Genomic DNA, 24019 nt, shown 5'->3' on the forward strand with positions numbered 1-24019 from the left:
TCCCGGCCGCCCCGATGGTTCGCTCCACCTCTGCCCCGGCGCCCGAAACACGGTGGTACAACCCATCGCGCATGGCAGCTCTGAGGACCGAAGATGTTGCCGCCATCTTTATTGAGGACGTGAGCGTTGCTCCTGGTGCTGAACAGAGCGCGAAGGTTCGCCGTCGTTGGGTCCGCCCTCCCCACTTTCGGTCGCCGCCTTCACCCACCTCCCTCCTTCTAGGGCGCTGTCCCAGCTCCGTCTCCCAGCCTTTTTCTGTCCTTCCAGATCTCTTGTTCCCCCTTCCTGACCACTAGTTCTGAACCGTGTCCCGGATTTTGGTCTGAAATTTTGGTGCCCATGAGCGTTCTCATAGCTCTGGGAGGGGGTACTGTGTGAAATCCTGGGGTAGAGGGGACGATGGCTGGAGAGGGGTCTGGGGTGCCAGCACCCCGAACAATAGCTTTAACTATCCCATCAGCTAGTTTTATGAAACATGTCGCGACCACCTGCTTGTTTGGATCGCCCCTGCGGAGCAGGGACCAGAGATGACCCTCCCGAGGCGGGAGCAGAGGCCAAATTCTTCCCTGCCTTGCTGGTCCCCAGCAGTCTCCCGGGCTCGGGGCCCCTTCACTGGAGGCTGCACCCCCTCCCAGGCTGCGAGTCCCGAGTGCTCTGGGATGCCACGTGGAGCCCGGCGTTGCCCCATGGCTGCGGGCCCCGCTTCTTCGGGTCCCCGCCCCTCGTCCGTCACGACCGCATGCCTTAACCCCTTGAAGGGACTGACACAGAAACTCAGTCCTCCCCCCACCCTCGGTGCATTCCAGCTCTCCCTGCGTAACTCCTGGCACGCGCCGGTCTCGCCAGGCCAATGGGTGGACCTGGCGCAACAGACGTCACGAGAGGAGCGGAGGCGAGGGGTGAACGCGGAGCACTCCAATCGGTCAGTCATTGTTTCTATTGGCACAATGGGAGGCCCCGCCCCTCACGGCGGACTCATCGCATGGGGGAGGGGGCTCCGCGGGTTGCCGGCTAACCGTGAGAGAGTCCGGGAGGTACACTATACGGACCGGCCTCCAAAGGCGGAATCGATAACGAGCTGCAGCGCCGGGTGCAGAGGACGCGGGCATCCCGAAGCCCAGGAAGAGGTCAGGGCCGGGACCCCAGAACGCTCCACAGGGTGCGGCTCCCGCGATGGGGTGGATCCTGGTTCTAACAGGCGAGGAACTCCTGGCCAAGGCCTCTGGCCCGCCCCGAACGGTCCCTATGACATCACCATCAACCAATCAGTCGGCGCATCCTTTCGCCCCTTGACTGCTCCGCTTCCGGGAGGCGGGGCTTCTGCGGGTTCCACCTCCCGAGCGCCCCTTGTGGCTACCAAGGTCAGGCAACAGGTGTCCAGTTGTTCCCTCTCCTGTCTACGAATCTGAGGACCTCCCCAGGATCAGAGCTCTGGGCCTGATACACGGCCGGGGTTCCTACGGGTTTGTGAGTGGGGGTGGAAGATCTGCAGAGGCACTTAGGGCTGAACTCCTTTGAATGGGAGCCAATCGGTGCAGGGGCTGGAGGAGCGAGTCCCCCAAAGTAGTTTTATTTATCTATTTAGAGACAAGGTCTCACTCTTTCGGAGTGCAGTGGTGATCACAGCTCACCGTAGCCTCGAACTCCCCAGGCGATTCTCTCACCTCAGCCTCCCGAGTAGCTGGGACTACGGGTACATGTCATCACACTTGGCTAATTTTTGCATTTTTTATAGAGACAGGGTCTCACCATGTAGGCCAGATTAGTCTTGAACTCCTGGGCTCAAGCAATCCGCCCATCTTGGCCTCCCAAAGTGCTGGGATTATAGGTGTGAGCCACCGCGCCCGGCAACCCAGAAGTGGTTTTGACAGCACCAGCGCTTTCTGTGTCCACAATCTAGTGAGTAGAGGGCACAAAACCTGACACCACGGAGGCAGACAGGCAGGGGCTCTGCCGGGGAAGGGTGTTGGAGTCCCAAAGGAGGCGTCTGAGTCACCTTCGCAACCTGGGACGCCTTCTTGCATAAGATGCCTGAGCAGTGCCTTGAATGACCAAGGGGAGATCCGCATCTGCAAAGGAAGGGCAGGGAGGGATAGGGATTGGGGGTGGGCATCCTAGGTCTTGGAGACTGTGTGGGCAAATGTGCAGAGACATAAAGGGACTATGGCTGAGGGAAATCAAGCCCTGCCCTCTCACCAATAGGGCTGGCGCTGGTCCCAGCTAACACTCCTTTTGGAGAGCAAAGCTCCTCACTTCTGAGTAGTGAGATTGATTGCGGATCACTCTCCATGTTGCTGCCTGCTGTGTGTCATCCCACTGTCATCCTCCCTTTGTGGCTGTTCTGTGGAGCCCCTCTCCCTCAATCTGCACTCACCTCTATGCCCCAGCCCCATTGGCAGCTCCTAATGCACTCCCGGTAAAAAAAAAAAAACAAAAACCAGATGTTAGTGATAGTGGTGGTAGTTCTTCTCTCCACCTCCAAATCTTGCCCTTGCCTCCTAATAAGACCCCTATGTGGTTTAACCTCATTTTTTTTTTTTTTTTTTTTTTTTGAGATGGAGTTTCACTCTGTCACCCAGGCTGGAGTGAAGTGGTGTGATGGGGCTTCACCATGTGATGGGGCTTCACCATGTTGGCCAGGCTGGTATCAAACTCCTGACCTCTAGTGATCTGCCCGCCTCAGCCTCCCAAAGTGCTGGGATTACCGGCATGAGGCACCGTGCCCAGCCTATCCTCCTTCTCTTATCAGCTCCCAACTAGAGGTCCACCCAGGACCCAGAGACCTGGATTTGAGGCTGCTGGGCGGCAGATGGAGCGATCAGAAGACCAGGGTAAGGGTGTGGCAGATACTGCCACTAACACTTCTCAGCCTTTCCTTCTCCTGCCTTTTCCACCCCACCCTGTGTTTGTCTACTCCCAGCCAGGTGTACCTTTCCAGGGGAAGACCTGGCCAACCTGTCCAGCTCAATTATCCAGCAGTTCTTTGACCTCACTGAGATCTCGAGTCCATTGTTCATCACCTCAGCTATTGACCTGTGTCATTAGCCTTATAGAGTTCAGTGCCACGGAAACTCCCTGCCCTGTTCTTTTTCTTTTTCTTTTTTTTTTTTTTTTTGAGACAGAGCCTTGCTCTGTCGCCCAGGCTGGAGTGCAGTGGCGCGATCTCGGCTCACTGCAAGCTCTGCCTCCCAGGTTCACACCATTCTCCTGACTCAGCCTCCCGAGTAGCTGGGACTACAGGCGTCCACCACCATGCCCAGCTAATTTTTTTTTTTGTATTTTTAGTAGAGACGGCGTTTCACCGTGTTAGCCAGGCTGGTCTCGATCTCCTGACCTTGTGATGCTCCCGCCTCGGCCTCCCAAAGTGCTGGGATTACAGGCATGAGCCATTGTGCCCGGCCTGCCCTGTTCTTCTTAGACAAACTTGCTGGGCTAAAATCTAACCCCGTTAAAATAGACTATTTACGTATTGTTTGCCTCTAGCGCAGCAGAACATTGCTGGAGAAAAACAAACAACCGTGCTAATTGGTCTCATTTTATATTCATGACCACAAGCCTCAGTATTATATCGGAGGGCCTATCCAGTGCAGTAGGGCAAGAAAAATAATAAGTTATGAAGATTGGAAGGGAAAAAAAACTAATTCACAAGCAGTAGGATTGTATATGTAAAAATTTCAAAGGAACCTATAGGTAAGTTGTTAGAATGAGTTCAGCAAAGTTGTTGGACACAAGATCAATATATAAAAATCAGTTGCAATTTCTATATGTCACCAACAGTTAGAAAATAAATTTCTTGCCTGGGCATGTTGGCTCAAGCCTGTAATCCCAGCACTTTGGGTGGCCAAGGCGGGCAGATCACCTGAGGTCAGGAGTTTGAGACCAGTTTGGCCAACATGGTGAAATCCCGTCTCTACTAAAAATACAGAAATTAGCCGGGCGTGGTGGTGGGCACCTGTAGTCCCAGCTACTGAGGAGGCTGAGGCAGGAGAATCACTTGAACCTGGGAGGCAGAGGTTGCAGTGAACGAGAAAAAAAAATTTTTTTTCTTAAAAACAATGATGTTTACAATAGCATCAAGTAATATCAAATGCTGAGGAATAAACCTAATGAAAGATGTGCAAAGACTACATACACACATACAAAAAAACTATAAAACATTATTGAGGGAAATAAAGACATAGGCCTGGCATTGGTGGCTCATGCCTGAAATCTCAGCACTTTGGAGGGCCAAGGTGGGTGGATCATTTGAGGTCAGGAGTTAGAGATCAGTCCGGCCAACATGGTGAAACCTCATCTCTACTAAAAATACAAAAAAATTAGCTTGGCCAGGTGCAGTGGCTCACACCTGTAATCCCAGCACTTTGGGAGGCTGAGGCGGGCGGATCATGAGGTCAGGAGATCGAGACCATCCTGGCTAACACGGTGAAACCCTGTCTCTACTAAAAATACAAAAAAAAATTAGCCGGGCCTGATGGCGGGCGCCCGTAGTCCCAGCTACTCGGGAGGCTGAGGTAGCAGAATGGCGTGAACCTGGGAGGTGCAGCTTGCAGTGAGCCTAAATTGCGCCACTGCACTCCAGCCTGGGTAACAGAGCGAGACTCCGTTTCAAAAAAAAAAAAAAAAATTAGCTGGGCATGCTGTTGTGCACCTGCAATCCCAGCTACTCTGGAGGATGAGGCAGAAGTGCCTGAACCTGGGACACAGAGGTTGCAGTGAGCCAAGATCATGCCATTGCACTCCAGCCTGGACAACACAGCCAGACGCTATCTGAAAAAAAAAAAAAAAAAAAAAGTAAAAAAAATGAGAAATAAAGACATAAATAAAGTGAAAAATTGTTCCAATATTGGAAAAGTCAATATTATAAAGGTGCCAATTTTCCCAAATTGATATATGGATTCGATGCAACTTCAGTTAAAAATCCCACTAAATTTTGGCTGGGTGCGGTGGCTCACACCTGTAATCCCAGCACTTTGGGAGGCTGAGGCGGGCGGATCACAAGGTCAGGAGATCGAGACCATCTTGGCTAACATGGTGAAACCGTCTCTACTAAAAATACAAAAGTTAGCCGGGTGTGGTGGCGGGCACCTGTAGTCCCAGCTACTTGGGAGGCTGAGACAGAATGGCGTGAACCTGGGGAGGCGGAGCTTGCAGTGAGCCAAGTTGACGCCACTGCACTCCAGCCTGGGCGACAGAGCAAGACTCTGTCTCAAAAAAAAAAAAAAAAAAATCCCACTAGATTTTGTGTGTGTGTAAACTGACAAACTAGATTTAGCAGCCTGAGCAACACAGCAAAACCCCATCTCTACAAAAAATACAAAAATTTTGCACATGCCTGTATAGTCCCAGCTACTTGGGAGGCTGAAGTGGGAGGATCATGTGAGCTCTGGGGAGGTCGAGGCTGTAGTGAGCTATGATCACATGCTGCACTCTAGCCTGGGCAACAGAGCAAGAGACCCTGTATCTAAAAAAAGAATGAAAATTAAAAAATAAAAAGAAACCAAGATTGTGTGGTACTGGTACGAGGATAGGAAGACTAAAGGAACGAAATCCAGAGACAGGCCTGAAGATGTGTGGAAACTTGAATTTTGACAAGGGTGGTTCTTCAGAGCTAACATGAAGAAAGGGTTGTTTTCTTTTTTTTGTTTCCCCAGGAGCAACTCTATTAACTGAAAGAATAGGCTTTTCAATAAATGATGCTGGGTCAGTTGGATATCCATATAGAAAAAATTAAATGAGATCTCTATTTCACACTGCTTGCATAATCAATTCCATATAAATTTGACATCTGAAAATATACAGTTTCTAGAAAACAGTATTAAGACCTTGTTTTGTTTTTTGTTGTTGTTGTTTTTTGTTTTGTTTTTTGTTTTTTGAGACAGAGTCTCGCTCTGTCGCCAGGCTGGAATACAGTGGTGCAACCTTGGCTCACTGCAACCTCTGACTCCCTAGTTCAAGCAATTCTCCTGCCTCAGCCTCCCGAGTAGCTGCGATTACAGGCACATGCCACCACGCCCAGCTAATTTTTGTATTTTTAGTAGAGATGGGGGTTTCACCATGTTGGCCAGGATGGTCTCGATCTCCTGACCCTGTAATCCGCCCACCTCGGCCTCCCAAAGTGCTGGGATTACAGGCGTGAGCCACTGCACCTGGCCAAGAGAAGATCTTAAAGGTGACTTTAAGCAAACTTTTTTTTTTTTTTTTTTACAGAGACGGGAGCTGGAGTGCAGTGGCTGTTCACAAGCGTGAAAGCAAAGATTAAAAAATTTGTTTTTATATTAAAAAAGTTTTTAGAGATGGGGGTCTCACTTTGTGGCCCAGCCTGCAGTGCAGTGGCGCGATCATAGCTCCCTGCTGCCTCGACTTCCTAGGCTCAAGGGACCCTCCTGTCTTGGCCTCTGAGTAGCTGAGACTACAGGTATGCTCCACCACACCCGGCTAATTTCTTTACTTTTTTGTAGGGACAGGGTCTCATCATTTTGCCCAGGCTGGTCTGGAACTCTTGAGCTCAAGTGATCCTCCTGCCTTGGCCTCCCAAAGTGCTGGGATTACAGGCATGAGCCACCACAGCCAGTCAAGATTTTTTAACAGGACAGGACTGTCTAACAGGATTGTCTAATAGGACATAAAATACACTAACTATAAAGGAAAGTATTGATAAATTGGATTACATAATGATTGAGAACCTTCTTTTATCAAAAGACATTAAAAGTGGGAGAAGATACTCTAAGATAGAACATCCATGGACTCATATCCTGAATACATACTACAAATCAATAAAATATACACAAACAGATAAATGGGGCAAGAGATTCGAATAGTTACTTCACAAAAGAGAACATTCAAATAATATTGAAAAGGTGCTCAACCTCTTTAGTCATCAGGGAAATGCAAATTGAAAAAAATAAATACTGGCTAGGTGAGGCGACTCACATCTGTAATCCCAGCACCTTGGGAGGCTGAGATGGACAGATCACTTGAGGCCAGGAGTTTGAGACCAGCCTGGCCAGCATGGCAAAACCCTGTCTTTACTCAAAGCACAAAAGTTAGCCGGGCATGTTGGCCCACGCCTGTGGTCCCAGCTACTTGGGAGGCTGAGGCATGAGAATCGCTTGAACCCAGGAGGAGGAGGATGCAGTGAGCTGAGAATGCACCACTGGACTCCATCCTGGGCAACAGAACAAGACTTTACCTCCCAAAAAAAAGGTGGAGAGGGGAGGACTACTGCACTCTACCAGGATAGCGAAAATAAAAATGACTTGACAATACCAAGTTTTGGGAAAGATAGAAGCTTGAACTGTCTGACACTACTGAAGGAGCATACATTGGTACAACTACTTTGGAAACCTATTTGGCAGTATCTGCCTGTGACCGTGAAATTCCACTCTTTATTTGGGAATATACCCTCCTAAAATAATGCGTATGAGCAACATGAAGACATGTACAACAGTGCTCCTGGCAGCAGTATTTGCAACAGACAAAAATTGGAAACAACTGAAAGGTCATCAACAGTGGATGGATACGCTGGGTGTGGTGGCTCATGCCTGTAATCCCAGCACTTTGGGAGGCCAAGGAGGGTGGATCACCCGAAGTCAGGAGTTTAAGACCAGCCTGGCCAACAAGGAGAAACCTTGTCTCTACTAAAAATACAAAAATTAGCTGGGTGTGGTGGCGCACGCCTGTAATCCCAGCTACTCAGGAGGCTGAGACAGAATTACTTGACCCCTCATCCTGGGGTTGGCCTTATGCATGTGCAGCTTATGGCTCAGCACATATGCCAAAGACACGGTGCCAGCACTTTTTTTTTTTTTTTTGAGTTGGGGTCTCACTCTCACCCAGGCTGGAGTGCAGTGGTGCAATTGCTCCTGAGCATAAGTGATTCTTCCACCTCAGCCTCCCGAGTAGCTAGGACTACAGGTGTGGGCCACCACGCCCAGCTAATTTTTGTATTTTTTGTAGGGATGGGGTCTTCCTATGCTGTCCAGGTTGGTCTCAAACTCCTGGGCTCAAGCGATTTTCCCTCTACGGCCTCCCAAAGTGCTAGGATTACAGGTGTGAGCCACCTGCACACTTACACACCCATTCCTAGCTGCAGCTTCAGAAACTTCTGACCCAGGAAGTCAGCCCAAACCCCCTCACTGTCCCCCAAAATTTGAGTTCTTCTCAACTCTACCCAAACACTCCCCTTTCTTGGGGTGGCTTAATGCTCTGTCTCATTGCCCTTCCTACTGCCTACCCACATATCACATCTACCAACCTTCCACGCAGCCATAGACGTGTTCTATCAAAGACAGTTCCCTCCCCAAGAGGACTTCTCTGACTAATCATAATCTGCCTTTGGTTGTAATTTTGTGTTGTGAGGCCACCACAAGGGTGTTTGCTGAAGAGGTCCTGGAGTCCCCTCAGAGCACGCTTGCTACCAGGAGTCAGCATGTATGTAACTTCATCAGCTGGGGCTTCTGCTTCTCTTACAAACAGGTGCCAGGGCCCACCTTGGGCACTCCTGCAGAAGTGAGCAGAGGCTTCTGCCATGGGGCCATACCTTGTTTGACCTAGGTGCCAGCACTGGGACAGATGGCACAGCACAGTCCTGCCGTTCCCACAGGGTTTGTGTGTGCATCATGACAGGAAACACAGCAAGTCACAAAGGCTGTCCGATGTCCCTGCCTCAGCTTCCTGAGGACCTGTGCTTTTTACTGAAATACACTATCTCATAAGAATACTTCCCTGCCTTCCGCACCCCAGTGAGAAAGGAGTTGTGACTGGAAGTCAGTGTCATTGACTTTGGATATGAAAAGGAGGCAGAATGTCTCCAGGGTTAAAAGTAGTAACCAGGCCAGGCGTGGTGGCTTATGCGTGTAATCCCAGCATTTTGGGAGGCGGAGGTGAGTGGGTCACCTGAGGTCAGGAGTTCAAGACCAGCCGGGCCAACATGGCGAAATCCCATCTGTACTGAAAATACAGGAATTAGCCGGGTGTGGTGGCAGGCGCCTGTAATACCAGCTACTGGGGAGGCTGAGGCAGGAAGAATTGCTTGAACCCAGGAGGTTAAGGGTTGCAGTGAGCCAAGATCACACCACTGCACTCCAGCCTGGGTGACAGAACACGATTCCATCTGAAAAAAAAAAAAAAAAAAAAAAGCGGGGGCTGGGCGCGGTGGCTCACACCTGTAATCCCAGCACTTTGGGAGCCTGAGACAGGTGGATCGTCTGAGATCAGGAGTTCGAGACCAGCCTGACCAACATGGTGAAACCCCGTCTCTACTAAAAATACAAAAATTAGCTGGATGTGGTGGTGGGCACCTGTAATCCCAGCTATTCGGGAAGCTGAGGCAGAGGAATCATCGCTTGAACCTGGGAGGTAGAGGTTGCAGTGAGCCGAGATCACACCATTGCATTCCAGCCTGGGTGACAAGAGCAAAACTCCGTCTCAAAAAGAAAAAAAAAAAAAGTTAGTAACCAGGTTGTGTCCCACAGAGCTTTACTGGGGGCCAAACACTGTCAACCCCTCCTCAGGTCCCAGTGAGTTTGTGCACCTGGCCTTCTGACAGTAAGCGGTGAGCAGGGCATCCCCCACCAGGACCCCATACTTTCCTCCCATGGGTTTCCTATGGAATGTTGCTGCTTCAACTTCTGAGAGCCTCTTGCTGGGGGGCCCCATCCCTAGCCCTTGCCTCCCTGTGCTGCTTTACCTTCTTTTTGGGAGGATAACTGCCCTCTGTTTTCAGCACCCCAATAAGAAAGAAAAAGTCATGACCAGAAGTCAGTGTCAGTGATTGCTGATGTGTGGAAACATCTGATGAATGAAGAGTTTGGGTAAAAAATAAAGGGAACTGATGAAAACCACTTGTGTGTGAAGCCTATATAGTGGTGTGTGCCTGTAGTCCCAGCTACTCGGGAAGCTGAAGTGGGAGGACTGCTTGAGCACAGGAGTTGGACATCAGCCTTGAAAAGATAGTGAGACTCAATCTAGAAAACAGAAACAACACTTCTGACTGGTGTCTGCCTGTGGGTTTCTGACTCTGCTCCCAAACTTATGGTGAGAACTTCTTTGCTAACTTGAGAGTCTGCAAGAGTGAAGTTTTTGCCAAATTTTGGCCCTTAGTTCCTCTAAAACACTAATGGAAACGTAACCCCATGCTTGTTAAGACCCTCCTTCTGCCCTACCATGATTACCAGATCTCTGCTGAGGTTGCAAGATGAGGTGATCTTGCTGGAAACAAGGACAAATGGGGGAAGAAAATAGGGCTGGACAGGCCCAAGCATTCAGAGGCCAGGGCTGGGGGTAGGTAGGGGCCTGCTTCATTTGAGAACAACTATGAAGGACAATAGGGTTTCAACAGGGGAGAGAGTAGCGGTATTCAAAGCAAAGCAAAAGATGTAAGTGAAAGATGTAAGCGGGCCGGTGCGATGGGTCACGCCTATAATCCCCGTACTTTGGGAGGCCAAGGCAGGAGGATCACCGGAACTGAGGTGTTTGAGACCTGCTTGAGCAACATAGTAGGACCCTGTCTCTACCAAAAAAAAAAAAAAAAATTAAATTAGCTGGGCATGGTGGCTACTGTAGTTTCAGCTACTCAGGAGGCTGAGGCAGGAGGATCACTTGAGCCTGGGAGGTCAAGGCTACAGTGAGCCTGGGTAACAGAGTGAGACTGTCTCAAAAAAAAAAAAAAGGAGAAAAAGAAAGATGTAAGTGTGTAAGTGAAGCCTGGAGATGCAGACACCTGCGAATGGGCTGCTGAGGGGCACTTGGCTATGGCTGGGGCTCAGGAAAAGTGGAGCTCAGGGAAGAGAGGCTAGAACAGGGCTCAAAGGGCCTTGAAGGCCAGGCCTGTCAGGGTCCATCACCTCCTCAGGCTGGAGAAGTCAGTGCAAGCTGCAGTGATGGGGTCCTGAGGCCCCAGTACTTCTGCCCATCCTCTCCCACTGTCTCCCAAGATCATACAGGGAAGCCTGTTTCCAGATGCCTGTGATTTATTTCCAAAGGAGAGCTACAGCACATAGGAAAATACACATGGCTTTTCAGTCTACATTTTTACAGAGAAAAGAGATTCGGTCATTGGCTTTCTCAGTGCCATCATCCTGTTCCATGAGGCTCCAGGATGGATGGCCTGTCTCCAAGATCCCGCTTTCAAAGCAGCAGCTTGGCCAAGGCCTCTGGGGGTAGGAGTGAAGGGCAGCGACCCCCATGTGCGGGTGGAGGGGAGGACATGAGCAGCACTCACTGCAAAGCTAAGGCAAAGAATAGAGCTGGTGGGAGATGCCTCCCCTCACCCCAGGGGCATGGCTTGCTGAGGCCCAGGATACAGACCAGGAGGGGTGGGGATGGGGGTCTGGTCCAGCCTGGAGCGGCAGCAGGACTCTGAGTGTACACATGGGTGTGGGGTGAAGAGGGGGGCATGCTGAAGAGGAAGCCTACCAGGGTATAGAGGGGCTTTAGCTTGCATATTCCCCCTGCCCCAGAACAGCTCCCAGACCATGGTCCCCAATCCTACACTTGGCCCCTCTCTTAAGTTCTACTTCAGGTGGGGGTCCTGCTCAGGTTCCTTCTGCCACCTTATCCCCTCCCACTGTCAGTGCAAAACATTCTTAGGGCCAAGCCCCTGAGTCCCCTGCACACTGACTGGAGCTGCAGGGAAGGGAGGACAGCAAGGTGCTAGCTGGGAGCCTCCCCCAGCACCAGGAATTCCTTGCACATCTCTCGGACAATCATGCGGTCCATCTGGCACTGGGGTGAGGTCTCCTCCTCATTCAGGATGCGTCGCAGTATGGCCTGCAGGTCGGGTAGCCGGTGGCGGTGCTGCAGGTAGGGTGTGGTGCGGACTATAGCATGCATCAGGGAGAGGTACTCCATGCGCAGCTGTGGGAAGAGCAGGCCAGCTCAGGGACCCCAGGGAGGTACTGCAACCACCACTGGACAGGGACAGGACCCCACTGTCCCACAGACCCCAGGGCTGTGGACCTGAACATCAGGGCTGCATCCCCAGCACCCACAATATACCTGGCACAGAATTGGTCTTCAATAGTTTTTGAGTAAGCGAATAAACGAATCATCCCAGCCACAGACAGCCCCAAGTATGTGGCCTGCCCAGGGAAGTCCTGCCCATCCTTTGAAGCTGGGTCTCTCAAGGTGCCTCTGTCTATCAGTCAGAGGCCCTCTGCTTCTCACCCTATCCTCTCTTACCCTGGAAGACCTCGTGCACATTCACAGCTTCAAATAGTGAACCACTCTCATACCTCTTACCTAGAACTCCCCTGTGAGCTCCAGACAAGAATATTCAACTGCCCACTTGACATCTCCTGCACATGTGACAGACCTCAAATCCACATATCTACCACCAAACTCATGATCTTTCCCATCCTCCCAGAGTTGAAGGTTTTCTCATGTTCTTACCTTTAGAAAGAGCACTGTTGCCGATTCAAAAGCACAGGCCTGAAATATGGTGTCCTCTTTGCTTCTTGTCTCCCACATACCTCATATCCAAGCCATGTCTAAGACCTGGCCATCCTACCTCCTACATATGCCCCAAATTCATCTCCAACAGCCTCTCCTCCAACCTATACTCCCAACACCTCTGGCTGAACCAGTTCCAACAGCCCTTATGATCTATATATATATATCATATATATATATATATATGATATATATATATATATATCATTTTTTTTTTTGAGACAGGGTCTCGTGCTGTCACCCAGGCTGGAGTGCAGTGGCATGATCTTGGCTCACTGCAACCTCTGACTCCTGGATTCAAGTGATTCTCCTGCCTCAGCCTCCCAAATAGCTGGGATTACAGGCATGTGCCAAAATGCCTGGCTAATTTTTGTATTTTTTTTAAGAAGAGACGGGGTTTCGCCATGTTGGCCAGGCTGGTTTCAAACTCCAGACTTCAAGTGATCCACCCACCTCGGCCTCCCAAAGTGCTGGGATTACAGGCGTGAACCACCACGCCCGGCCAGCCCTTATGACTTGACAGCTTGTTCTCACAGAGACCCCCAGTCCACTGACCTGATGTCTGCTTCCCTCAACATCCCTCATTTCTCTTTTTACCTTTAATTAGAGAAATAATACCAAAACCTCCTTTAGGCAGCACACCCTGCTAAGTCCCAGCCCTGGGAGTCATACTGAGGTGCCTGCACATCAAACACCAGCGTCTAAGCTATAGACAAATGCAGAGCCATGTGCAGGCCTGAATGTCATTCACCACCGCAAACCTCAAACGGACACACAGCACTGCCTGAGCCTCCCACTGCTTTTCTCTGCTGTGTCACTCTCCCTTAGAGTAGTAATAATGTCCACCTTCTCTGTCTTTGAAACCTACCTACCTTGTCAGCTGGCCTTGTGCTTCATAGAGAATACAGAAGTAATCTTGCAGAAACCCGTCTTTCCCCTCAGTACCCACATCTCACCTGTCCCTACCAGAATGAGCAGCCCTAGCTCCTGTCCATGTGGGCCTGGACCTGAACTCTCCCCTCCTGCCCCATCCACTTGACTCCTGTGGTGGCTCACCATCTCCAACACATCATCCATCTCTCTGTGCTTGCTGGATCATTCCCTCCGGCTCAGAACATGCACCATCATCCGTACCATTTTTGTTTTTGTTTTTTAAAGAGACAAGGTCTGGCTTTGTTGCCCAGGCTGGAGTGCAATGACACAATCATGGCTCAATGCAGCCTTGACCTCCTGGGCTCAAGTAATCTTCCCACTTCAGCCTCCAAAGTAGTTGGAATTACAGGTGCATACCACCATGCCCAGCTAATTTTATTTTCTACTGTGGTCCATCAGGTTATACAGAGGTCTCACTATGTTGCCCAGGCTGATCTTGAACTCATGGACTCAAGTGATCCTCCCACTTCGGCCTCCCAAAGTGCTGGGATTATAGGCGTGAGCCACTGCACCTGGCCAACATCCCCCATCTGTCACCCAAGCTGGAGTGCAGTGGTGTGATCTTGGCTCACAGCAACCTCCACCTCCCGGGTTCAAGCAATTCTCCTGCCTCAGCCTCCCAAGTAGGTGGGATTACAGGCTCCCACCACCATACCCAGCTAATTTTTGTATTTTTCGTATTTTGTATTTTTAGTAGAGACCACTTTGACCAGGCTGGTCTCGAATTCCTGACCTCAAGTGATCCACCCACCTCAGCCTCCCAAAGTGCTGGGATTACAAGCATGAGCCACCGCGCCTGGCCAACATCCCCCATCTTCAAAACACTCTCCCTGGCCAGGCACGGTGGCTCACACCTGTAATCCCAACACTTTGGGAGGCTGAGGCAGGTGGATTGCATGAGGTCAGGAGTTCAAGACCAGCCTGGCCAACATGGCGAAACCCTGTCTCTGCTAAAATATAAAAATTAGCTGGGTGTGGTAGTGGGTGACTGTAATCCCAGCAACTTGGGAGGCTGAGGCAGGAGAATCACTTGAAACCAGGAGGCGGAGGTTACAGTGAGCCACGATCGTGCCACTACACTCCAGCCTTGGCAACAGTGGGAGACAAACAAACAAACAAACAACAACAACAAAAAACCCCCAAAAAAACACTCTCCCTATCCCCATGTCATCTCTCTCCAGCAACCTCCCTTCCATTTTTCTCTTCCCCTTAATAGAAAATTCACAAGAGTTGTCTCCATTTACTGCTTCCAACCCTCCCCTCATTTCTACTCCCCAATAACTTCAAGCTCTCTCAAACTTTCATTCAGACTCTCCTCCTTGCACCCCACTGACACTGCTTGTCAGGCACCACTGACCTCTGTGTGGTGAATCCAATGGCCAACCCCAGTCTCGCTCAGGCTCCTAACGGTATAGAGATGGCTGATCGTCTTCCTCTAAACATGTGGCTTTGGGCTCCTGCTTTCTTGGTTCTCTTCCTGGGTTTCTCCCTAGTTGTTTCAGCTGTGCCCAGGGCTGCAGCCCGAACTTCCCGCTGACCTGCCTATCTATCTCATTTCTGAGGCAATCACATTGTCACAGGCTTCCCATCGTATCTCTGCATAGACCACTCCGAAATGTCTCTCTAGTCTCAACTCATTCCCCACTGCCTCCCTGATGCCCTCGGTACCTGGGTGTCTAGCAGATATCTCCTCATTCTTGACACATTCAAAACACGACTCTCTATTTTCCCCCAAGAAGTTCTCCCAGCCTCCCCAACTTCAAAAATCAGCACTTCATCCATCTAGCTGCTCAAGATAAATCAAGTGGCAAGCCCTGCCAGATCCACTTACTAAACACTCCACAGCTGGCCTCTTCTCGCCACTGCCACTGCCACGACCTATCCCATCCCCACCCCATCCATGCCACCTGGACCACTGAGGCTGCTTCCTCCCTGGCTGGCTTCCACTCTGCTGGCATGCAGTTGATTCCATGTGGGATGTTAATCACATCACATTCCCCGGTCCTGAGATCACAACCTCTTGCAGCAGCCTCCGAGGCTTTGTGTAAACTCCATCCTCCATGCCTCATCTCCCTCCACTCCCTCCTCTCCAGCCTCCTCCAGCCCCACCACCTCCAGATCACCTCATGGCTGGCTCCTTTGGGTCTTGGTGCACCTATCATGGCCTCCTACACTTACCTGGCTCCAGCAGTGGCCTTGCCCCCTCATCTCCACTCAATGTCATGCCCCCCACCATTTTGTTTCAGTTTCCACACAGTGACCCCCGCTGCTGCAGCCACCTCCAGGCACCTTGTCTCCTGGTGACAGGTCTGCGATGTGCCGCACAGTGATGTCAATGAGAGCCATCATGTCTGTGTGGTAGAAGATGGCAGCTGTGGCCGGGCTGCCAAACACGTCCTGCAGGAACTTGAGGACAGAGTGTGGTGGCTGTGGCTCATGTTTGAAGATGCGCACAGGGTCATCTAGGAGGCAGGGGTCATAGCGGTCAGGGTGGACCTTGTGGGGATCCCAGAGTCACCCCAGGGGGTTACGGGAGTCATTGCAGGGGTCATGGAGTCACAGGGCATGGAAGTGGTACCCGCGCAGATTCCCGGGCCCTCACCCCCTCTGTTCAGGAGCAACAACAGCTTCTCGGAGAAGATCTTGACATTGGCGTGTTTGCTCAGGGCAGCCATGATGACATTCTGGTCAGCAGCTAAGGAAGGACATGGGTATAGACAGGGTGCTGAGCCTGAGAGCCACCATGTGCTCAGCCACCGCCCAGCCAGGCCCCACCCCACCTGGCAGGTGCAGGTTGAGAGCCAGAAGCAGGTTCACGCAGAGGTCCGGCAGCTGCTCTGTGGTGTCCAAGGGCAGCCCATCCTCGACGATGTTCAGTAGGAACTGGGCGAAAGGCGTGCCCAGGTGCTCTGGGAGAGGGGCGCACAGAAGTCTGCAGCCCCATTCCCCTCCGACCCCCGCACCACCCACCCTTCCTGGCTTTCTGTGAGCCTTGGGGATAGCCTCTCCCTGCTAGGCTGTGTAGTCAGCAGGTCCCAGGCCCTCGGGCAATGGGCCCTGGCTTAGGACCTGTGATCAGCTGGTCGGTTACTGCATTCTTACCATAGTGTGCATAGGGCACTGCCTCTCCCATGGAGAAGACCATGGCCAGGATGAGGGCAGAGTAACAGAGTTTCTGGTGGTCTGGGGGGGACAAGGCAGGCAGTCAGAGTCCCCAAAGATGGCAGGAAACCCCAGCAGATGGCAGGAACACCCTCCAGATAGCAGGAAGTTCCCTCCTACCCCGCCCTCCAGCCTCACCCTGCGTGTCTGTCTGCATGTCCCTCGCCAGCTCTACAGGCAGCACGGATGACACAAGCGTGGAGATGATGGCTGCATCCAGGCTGCACATGGCGCCAAAGCACTTGAGGAGCAGCAGCCGCAGTGATGCTCGGTGTTCCTGGCAGGGAACCCTGCGTGCTCAGTGCCTGGAACTCCCCCACTATCTAGGTCTCTCCATTACCCCTCCCCTCCATCCTGCACATACCATTTGGTAATAGGCCACCAAGGCCAGGACAGACTCGAACTCGTTTCTCTTGCACATTTTCTTGCAAACTTCAGGGTCTGCATCAGTCTACAGAAATGAGGAAGTGAGAGCATCAGCCACCATGAGCGGAGCTGTGCAGCCGCACAAGAGAGGGCTGAGCACATATGTGTAGGGGAGACTCCTAGCACTGTGAGGGATGCTACAGGGTGGGGGCCACTGTTCCCCATGTGGGGTATGTGTGTGGGACCCCACCCTTACCAGAATATGCAGCAGCTCCTCTAGGTAGCAGCGGATGACACCCTCATCCTCATATAGTGCCCAACTGCGCTGCTGGGCGTCGTCCTTCCGGCGAGCCAGGTCTGCAAAGATCACCTCCAGCCTCTGCTGGTCGTGGCAGACCTGCCCTGAGGGCAGGGCCATGCTGAGGTCCTAGAGGGAGAGGGCAAGGCATGACTCAGCACACTCCCTGCCCTCACCATCTCCAGGGAGCCTCCAAGGCCTGGAGAGTCCATCTGTGGACTTTTACTCCATGAACTCAAGTCCCTCCTGGCCCACACTGGACAGGAGGCTCAACTCCAGTCTTGATGACCTCCCAGGACAGGAGTCAACGGGAGACTCATCTGTAGGGGGTTTTCAACAGCTCGCCTCTCATCCCAGACCTGGATAAACACCCCCAACTAGGAGGGCCATGAACTCTGTCACTGCCAGAATGTGACTCTGAGACCTCACTCTCCCATTCCACACAAAATGGCACAGGCCTGTCATCTACCAACTTGCCACATTTTCCTTGAACCCTGCTGACCAGGCACTAGCTGTTGTGCCCAGCACAGCCAAGCCCATTGGCCCACTCCCCAACACCCAAACCAGAAGTGTAACAGGAACCATGGAGCACTAAAGAGGGACCTTTGGTCTGTCTGACCCCCATCATGTATGCTGGGCTCACTGCCCCCATCCTGCTCATGAGTGCCAAGGATCCCACCCATCCCATGATGCCCACACACCTCACTCCCTCTCATCCATGTCAGCACCTAGGACTCCATCCCAGCTCTCCCAGCACCCATGTCTCTTACTGCCAAGGTCAGCAAGGCACTACCCTCACCCACGCCGTGTCCATTCCTTCCCTGCAGCCAGACAGAACTCTTGGCCACCCGCATGTCGTCTTATCTGTCACCTGCCCCAGGTCTCACCTCCTCCTACAGCACCCACTCCCTCACTCCCTGTGTTCCAGTCCTGCAGGCCTTGTTCCACTTCCTCCCACAAGCCAGGCTCAGTCCTGCCTTGTGGCCCTTGTCCAGGCTGCGCATCTGCCTGGAATGCTTGTCCTTCCTTTCTGCTTCAGAAATCAGCTCAACGTCCCCAGTGCCCAGCACAGTAAGAGCTCAGAGCCAGAGCTTGAGAAATACCTGTAATGTACAGGCTGGACAAGTGTGTGACGGTGGGAACAGGGTGGGTAGCAGGGTGGCCCTGCTGTGCCGCCCACCCTCACCTTGCCCTCTACGAGTGAGAGGAGGACCTGCTCCATGACTGGTGAGCTGGCCGGCACCGAGGCCTGGATGTGACCCACTATGATGCCGATGGCCACCCGGCATAATTCGTGGCTCAGGCCAGTGTTTCTCCGCACCAGCTCCATCAGCTCGGCCCCAATGGTCCTGGGCACAGCCGCCTCAGCTGCTGCCTTCTCCTCTGTGGTCCCCAGGCTCAGTGTACCCAGGGCTTCCAGGTCATCAGAGGCTGAGGTTGTACCAGTTGCCACTTCTTCTTCTGCAGGGGGTTCAGGTGCTGATGCCTTGGAGGGAGGGGGCTGGACTTGGGACACGGTGGTGTGGGTGCCTCGGCGGGGCACAGGTGGGGGTGTGGGTGAGCAGCTGGAGCCTGGTTCAGATGGGCTGGAGCTGGTATAGAGCGTGTCCAGGGAGGTGCTGCTGACTGAGGAGCCGCTGGACACAGAGTTACCCCCGGAGGGCATGGTGTTGTGGCCACCTGCGAGCAGTGAGTAGAAGCTGGGCCAGGGCAGCCCCCTGGAAAACCATACCCTTCACAGCCCAGATCCCCTGTCCCCTAACACAGGGCCTAGTTTCTCTGCTAGGCACTGCCTCCTCACAAAGCCCAGAGCCCCTAATTGCCCCAAAATGGGAGTCCTGTCCTCTTCCCCAGCTTAGAGCCTCCATTTCCCTGACACAGGCAGCACAACCATTCCAAGCATAGGGTGCCTCCACCTGAATTCCCCTAACCCTGCCTTCTTACCACTCCCAGAGGCCATCAGGGCCTCGCGGTCTCGGCGCTTCACTGGTGGGGGCGGTGTGGTGGGTGCTGCTCGGCGAGGCTGTGGTGGGATCTGGGAAGATGGAAGTGGGATCTGGAAGATGGAAGTAGGATCTTGGAGGACAGACTGACATCTAGAGCGTCAGCGAGGCTCGGGCCCTGAGCCCTGGCTGTGGGCAGGACTATGGCTCTGGGCCGCATCACTCCTGAGTGGACCCCTTGAGCCTCTGGATGAAGCCTCAAGTTCCACCCACCTCCCTTCTCCACGATGTCCTCCCCACACACCTGGTAGAGGCCTCCATCTGCCCCAAGATGCTCAGAACTGGGTAGGCTGTGCTGCCGCTCGAACCCAGCTCGACACACCCCATTGGGCTGCCTGGCTGCAGCAGCATCCAAGTGGTGGTCACTGGTTGATGAGGTCATAACTGCAACACTGGAGGCTGAAGGGCCTCTGCGTGACAGGGTCTCTTTCCGGTGGTGGATCAGCTTCCTGATGGAAGGACAGGAAGACTATTGGGGGGTTGCATCTCACAGCTCAAAGTCCTCATATGCCCCTGTGGGATGCTGGGACCCCATAGCCCAGGCCCCTCAGACATCCCCATCTCCTCCATGCTCCACCCCAGCCTACAGTACCCCATACTATCCTCAGTCCTGCGCTCTGCACACCCCTGGTGCTCACTGAAGGACCCGACCCCACCTTGCTCACTGGGAGGTGCCATTCCCCCACCACCCTTGCCAACCCTCGCATTTCCCAGGCCCACCTGCCCCATGACACTCATTGAAGAACCCCACCCCACCATGCTCACCGGGAGGTCCCACTTCACTCCCCTCAACACTCACTGGAGGACTCCACGCTGTTCCAGGCTGTACTTGCCACCATCCCGCATGGCTGTGTTGTGTACAGCCTCGATGGCCCGGTCAATGGCCTGGAGGACATCCTGCTCCAGGCCCTGGGGGGGGCAGGGGACAGCAGTTAGACCTGAAGGCCAAACGGAGGTGCTCAGCCCAGGCCCAGCCCGAGATAGAACCCAGGGCAGAGAACCAATATAGCGAAAGCCTGGAATGCTAGACATAGCACAAAAAGTTGAACCAGAATATGGAATGGGGTTCTCAAACTGTATCACTCAGGGAGCTGAGGCACAGGGTGACCCCCATGCTGCCACATTACATATTAGGTCCTGATCAGGATTTTACCCCACAGCAAGGCTCTTGGCTAAGATGTTTCTGAAAATCAGAGGTCTAAAGCAAAAACATAGCCCAGGGGCTCCCAGCTTGCAGCCAGGAGCGCATACCTCGTCTATCCCTGGTCTTGGCTCAGAGCCCAGGTTGAGATGCCAAACAGGAAGTCTCCAGTATCTGGAATCCTTAATACATCACTCTGCATCTTGCTGATCTTTCACAAAACCAAGGTCATACCCCAGAACAGCCCTGTCCTTGTAAGGGCCCTCTGTAAGCCCTGGGAGCTGAGAATGGGTCAAAGGGACTTGCCCTCCCCAACCCTGCTGCTGGCCCTCATCCCCACAAGATGTCTCAGTAAGCTTCCAAACCCACCCTGGGAAGCAGTTCTGTGTTTGTGGCAAAGGATAAACATGAGAGAGGGGCCTAGCCCCTGTTCCAGGCTCTGTACTGCCATCCCCAACATTCCAGGGATCCAGTCTACTCTGCCTATCTGACATGGGGAGTGTAGGGTAGCAGCTATCAAACCAGCTACCCCCAGCCCTCCCCTGGCCCTGGCACACGTAGTCCATCAGGCTACATAGGAGTCCCGGAGCTGAGATGAACTCATTCCACCATGGGTTTGAGAAGCTTCCCTGATGGGCACAGACAGGTGGGCACAGAGGTCAGCAAAGCCCTCCAGGTGGTATGAGGTGTGCCAGAGTGCAGGGAGAGGAGACAGGGGGATAGAAAGACATGAAGACACACACACACACACACACACACACACACACACACACACAGAGAGAGAGAGAAAGAAAGGAATGGGGAAAGAGAGGAGCTCAGAGAGGAACGGAGAGGCAGACAGAGGGAAACAACGCAGAAAGAAACAGAGCCAAAGCCAGAGTGTGGGGGGAGCCGGAGGAAGAAACAAAAACACACACATGTGGAGTCGGAACGACACAGGCAGAGAGGCACAGAGTCGCAGCAATCCAGACAGAAAGAGACACGCAGAAAGAAACAGACAGTGACAGAGAAGATGGTAGCCTCTCTGCCCTCCCCAAACACCTTGCCCCACTGGTCCTGGCTGGCGGCAGGGGACTCACAGGCCCTTGACCTATGCCCAGTAGGGGAAGAGACAGGACTTTTCCTCAGAGGCCTTCAATGAGACCCCATTCCCAAAAAGGTTGGGTCTGACACACAGCAGCCATGGTGTCCACGGCCCCCACTCCCACCCCTGGCACTCCTAGATGGGATCACGCCAAGGGTCTATGAGGAAGCCCCTAGGCCCCCAGGGCCCATCCTTCCTGGTAAGACCAGATGACACTTCCAAATTTATCCCGTTATTTCTGTCCTGAACTGGGCTGGGACAGGATGTTTCCTAAAGGATAAGGACTAGGACGGGGCGGGGGTGTCTGGCACAGGCCCGGCAGCTCTGGGCCCTTCTTCCCCCTGTGGTCAGAATAGACCAGCTGGAGATACGCACCCCAACCCCCGCAGCAGGGCTACTCTTAGGGAAACAGGAACTGGGACTGCAGCTTCCACTGGAAGGAAATGGGGCCACGATCAGACCAGGAGAAGCTATAAGAACTCACTTCATCACAATGTGAGCAGTCCCCACTCCAGGCTGGGAACAAGTAGGGATGGAACCCATTTTCAAAGCAAGAAAGTTTGAGAAGTCAGGGTTGGGGAGTGGAGCAGACAGTGTCAGCAGGGGCATGGGTCCTTGGTTCAAATAAGGTTGGTAGAGACTTAAGAAGAGCTTAGAGGGTGGCTGAACACAGGCTAGTGAAAGACACTGAAGTACCAAAGCTTGGGTGTTACATAGGGGATGGAGGTGTCTATGGCTCTAGGGTCCAAGTTGGGGGGTTGAGGACCTGGAGAATGGCTAGGGAAACAGGTGGTGTCCAAGGTGGTCCAGGTCTCAGTGGTGGCTCCAACGGGGGGCAAGGCGCGGGGTTGGGGGAAGAAGGAAGGGAGGGAGGGAGGGAGGGAGGGAGGGAGGGAGGGAGGTTGGTTGTGGGGTCCTAGGAATCCAGAGAAGGGGCATATTAAGGATCTGGGGTCTCAGGGATTTGAATAATTGGCCAGGATTCGGTGGGGCTCAGGGTCGCCATTCAGATGGCGGACTCGATACTGAAGGGTCTGGGGTCCTGAGGAGTCTCAGTCCCAGAGTTAGGCTTTTGGTCGATCGGGAGTTGGTCTGTCAAGGGCCTGGTCTTTTGTGGGTGATGCTGACACTTGGGGTCTCAGTCCCCGTGGGTCCGGGGGTCTCAGGGTCAGGTTCTCAAACTCCCTGTCTGATAGAGGTCCTGGCCTCGGGTCCCGGAGAGGGTGGGGTCCCTGGGTCGGTTCCGCGGGGCTGTGAAGGGGTCCTGCCCCAGGGGCGCGGAGGCCGGGCGGGAAGGGGCGCACTCACCTGCAGGCGGCGCAGGTAGGCTGGCGGCACGTAGCCCGTCTCACCACTGCGCGCCCGCGCGGCCAGCCACCAGTGCGCGCTGCTTCGCTCTAGCACCAGGAAGGTCTCGCCCGCGGCGAACGCCAGCGCGTTGGGCTCCGCCGAGCGGAACGCGTACAGCGCGCGGTACATGAGGCCGGGCAGGGCAGGTGCAGGGAAGGTGGCAAGGGCTGCGGCGCCACAACGCCAGGCCGGGAGCGCCGAGCCGCGCCGCGGTTGTCCCGCCCCGTGACACACTACGCAGGCGCGCGCGCGCCCGCCCGCCGAAGCCCCGCCCCGGGCTGTATCGTTCCACGCATCGGAGAGCAGCGCCCCCGCGCGGCCCCAAGAGGTGCGGCGGGGCTGGGGTCGACAGCTCGCTGTCTCCTCTGGTCCCTCCCGGCTCCAGGCCCCTCATCCCCGGACACCGCACCCTCACTCCTCACCCCGGCCTCAGTTTCACCCGTCCAGCCCTCTGCTCCCTTTCCCCGCTTAAGTCCGAGCGCTGCGTCCCGTCCTACCTCCCGGTGAAAGCGCGCTCCGCTCGTAGCGGGTGCGCCCCTACCGCCCTGGGGCAGTGGGTCCCATCTACTAATTGCAAGGACGGCGACCTCGAAAGGATGATCTTGCTGATCCGACACTTGGAAGCCCCCGCGGGGCCCGGCTCTCGGTGTGTCTAGGCCTCACCACCTGTCTTCACCGAGTGCCGGTGGTGGCCAGTGGGGAGCAAGTGTGGGGAGAAGGGGGCCACAAAAGCAGAAACCAGGCGGGGCTATTCCCTGTCTAAAGCCCTCCCATCTTTGCTCCCCACCCCTACTCCTCCTCTCTCTTCAGCTATGGCTGGTTTTCTCTATATTGGGCCTTTGCATATTCTGTTCCCTCTACCTGGGACAATTTTCCCTTCCCTCTCCTATAGTATTTGTCCGTCAAGCTCCCACCCCCATCAATCGCTATCATCTTGCTGTGTTTTATTGTCTTTATAGGACTTAAGATTTGCGATGCCCCTTTCTGAGAGCATAGAGGAGGGCTGAAAGAGGGAGTGGGGTACCACGGTGGCCTTAAGAGCCTATTTGATCCACCCAGCTTTCCAGTCAGCCCAGATCTCCAGATATATGAAATCCGTGTAATAAGAGTGCCTGGAAGACCCAGGGAAGAGGCCCTCAGGGTCCTGGAGAGACTGTGGCTGAGAATGGTCCAGCTACGCTCCACAGGAAGCCCGAGCCCAGGAAGCAGGAGGCGTGTACAGGCCAGTGTGT

The 24019-nt window shown here is 53.6% G+C and overlaps 1 protein-coding gene and 1 long non-coding RNA gene across 3 annotated transcripts, besides 11 other annotated features; one reads left to right on the forward strand and one right to left on the reverse strand.

Annotated features, from left to right (window-relative positions):
- Positions 1–190: an enhancer, noted in NCBI's record as "active region_19840". NCBI's record gives its function as "activates an Ori minimal core promoter by ATAC-STARR-seq in GM12878 lymphoblastoid cells {active_cell/tissue: GM12878}" and the evidence as "EXISTENCE:reporter gene assay evidence [ECO:0000049][PMID:35858748]".
- Positions 1–646: a biological region, named in NCBI's record as "NANOG-H3K27ac-H3K4me1 hESC enhancer GRCh37_chr3:48700385-48700970".
- Positions 61–646: an enhancer, noted in NCBI's record as "NANOG-H3K27ac-H3K4me1 hESC enhancer chr3:48700385-48700970 (GRCh37/hg19 assembly coordinates)". NCBI's record gives its function as "activates a minimal SCP1, AML or CMV promoter by ChIP-STARR-seq in naive H9 embryonic stem cells {active_cell/tissue: H9 hESC(naive)}" and the evidence as "EXISTENCE:reporter gene assay evidence [ECO:0000049][PMID:30033119]".
- Positions 877–6283, forward strand: LINC02585 (long intergenic non-protein coding RNA 2585). The gene is made up of 3 exons (NR_111921.1): positions 877–922; positions 2750–2831; positions 6208–6283. It is a non-coding gene; the product is annotated as a long intergenic non-protein coding RNA 2585 (long non-coding RNA).
- Positions 961–1320: an enhancer, noted in NCBI's record as "active region_19841". NCBI's record gives its function as "activates an Ori minimal core promoter by ATAC-STARR-seq in GM12878 lymphoblastoid cells {active_cell/tissue: GM12878}" and the evidence as "EXISTENCE:reporter gene assay evidence [ECO:0000049][PMID:35858748]".
- Positions 1381–1450: an enhancer, noted in NCBI's record as "active region_19842". NCBI's record gives its function as "activates an Ori minimal core promoter by ATAC-STARR-seq in GM12878 lymphoblastoid cells {active_cell/tissue: GM12878}" and the evidence as "EXISTENCE:reporter gene assay evidence [ECO:0000049][PMID:35858748]".
- Positions 1817–2401: an enhancer, noted in NCBI's record as "H3K4me1 hESC enhancer chr3:48702141-48702725 (GRCh37/hg19 assembly coordinates)". NCBI's record gives its function as "activates a minimal SCP1, AML or CMV promoter by ChIP-STARR-seq in primed H9 embryonic stem cells {active_cell/tissue: H9 hESC(primed)}" and the evidence as "EXISTENCE:reporter gene assay evidence [ECO:0000049][PMID:30033119]".
- Positions 6284–10952: 4669 nt separating the features above from the next.
- On the reverse strand, positions 10953–23024 carry NCKIPSD (NCK interacting protein with SH3 domain). Of its 2 annotated transcripts, none has more exons than NM_184231.3 (13): positions 22746–23024; positions 20012–20121; positions 19457–19661; positions 19154–19244; positions 18396–18889; positions 17168–17338; positions 16910–16996; positions 16684–16822; positions 16486–16566; positions 16164–16292; positions 15986–16078; positions 15673–15845; positions 10953–11856 (listed from the first exon to the last, which is right to left on the reverse strand). In NM_184231.3, the coding sequence occupies exons 1-13, from the start codon at positions 22914–22916 to the stop codon at positions 11653–11655; spliced, it is 2148 nt and encodes a 715-aa protein (NP_909119.1). In that variant the 5' UTR covers positions 22917–23024; the 3' UTR covers positions 10953–11652. The 2 variants fall into 2 exon arrangements, with proteins under 2 accessions (NP_909119.1, NP_057537.1); NM_016453.4 differs by having other exon boundaries at positions 19154–19265.
- Positions 22532–23251: a silencer, noted in NCBI's record as "silent region_14338". NCBI's record gives its function as "represses an Ori minimal core promoter by ATAC-STARR-seq in GM12878 lymphoblastoid cells {active_cell/tissue: GM12878}" and the evidence as "EXISTENCE:reporter gene assay evidence [ECO:0000049][PMID:35858748]".
- Positions 22532–23867: a biological region, named in NCBI's record as "Sharpr-MPRA regulatory region 90".
- Positions 22645–22939: a silencer, noted in NCBI's record as "tiled region #90; HepG2 Repressive DNase unmatched - State 1:Tss, and K562 Repressive non-DNase unmatched - State 1:Tss". NCBI's record gives its function as "represses a minimal TATA promoter and a strong SV40 promoter by Sharpr-MPRA in HepG2 and K562 cells {active_cell/tissue: HepG2 | K562}" and the evidence as "EXISTENCE:reporter gene assay evidence [ECO:0000049][PMID:27701403]".
- Positions 23136–23867: an enhancer, noted in NCBI's record as "H3K27ac-H3K4me1 hESC enhancer chr3:48723460-48724191 (GRCh37/hg19 assembly coordinates)". NCBI's record gives its function as "activates a minimal SCP1, AML or CMV promoter by ChIP-STARR-seq in primed H9 embryonic stem cells {active_cell/tissue: H9 hESC(primed)}" and the evidence as "EXISTENCE:reporter gene assay evidence [ECO:0000049][PMID:30033119]".
- Positions 23462–23531: an enhancer, noted in NCBI's record as "active region_19843". NCBI's record gives its function as "activates an Ori minimal core promoter by ATAC-STARR-seq in GM12878 lymphoblastoid cells {active_cell/tissue: GM12878}" and the evidence as "EXISTENCE:reporter gene assay evidence [ECO:0000049][PMID:35858748]".

The sequence above is a fragment of the Homo sapiens genome, chromosome 3 (assembly GCF_000001405.40).
Source record: "Homo sapiens chromosome 3, GRCh38.p14 Primary Assembly".
Classification (NCBI taxonomy): domain Eukaryota; kingdom Metazoa; phylum Chordata; class Mammalia; order Primates; family Hominidae; genus Homo; species Homo sapiens.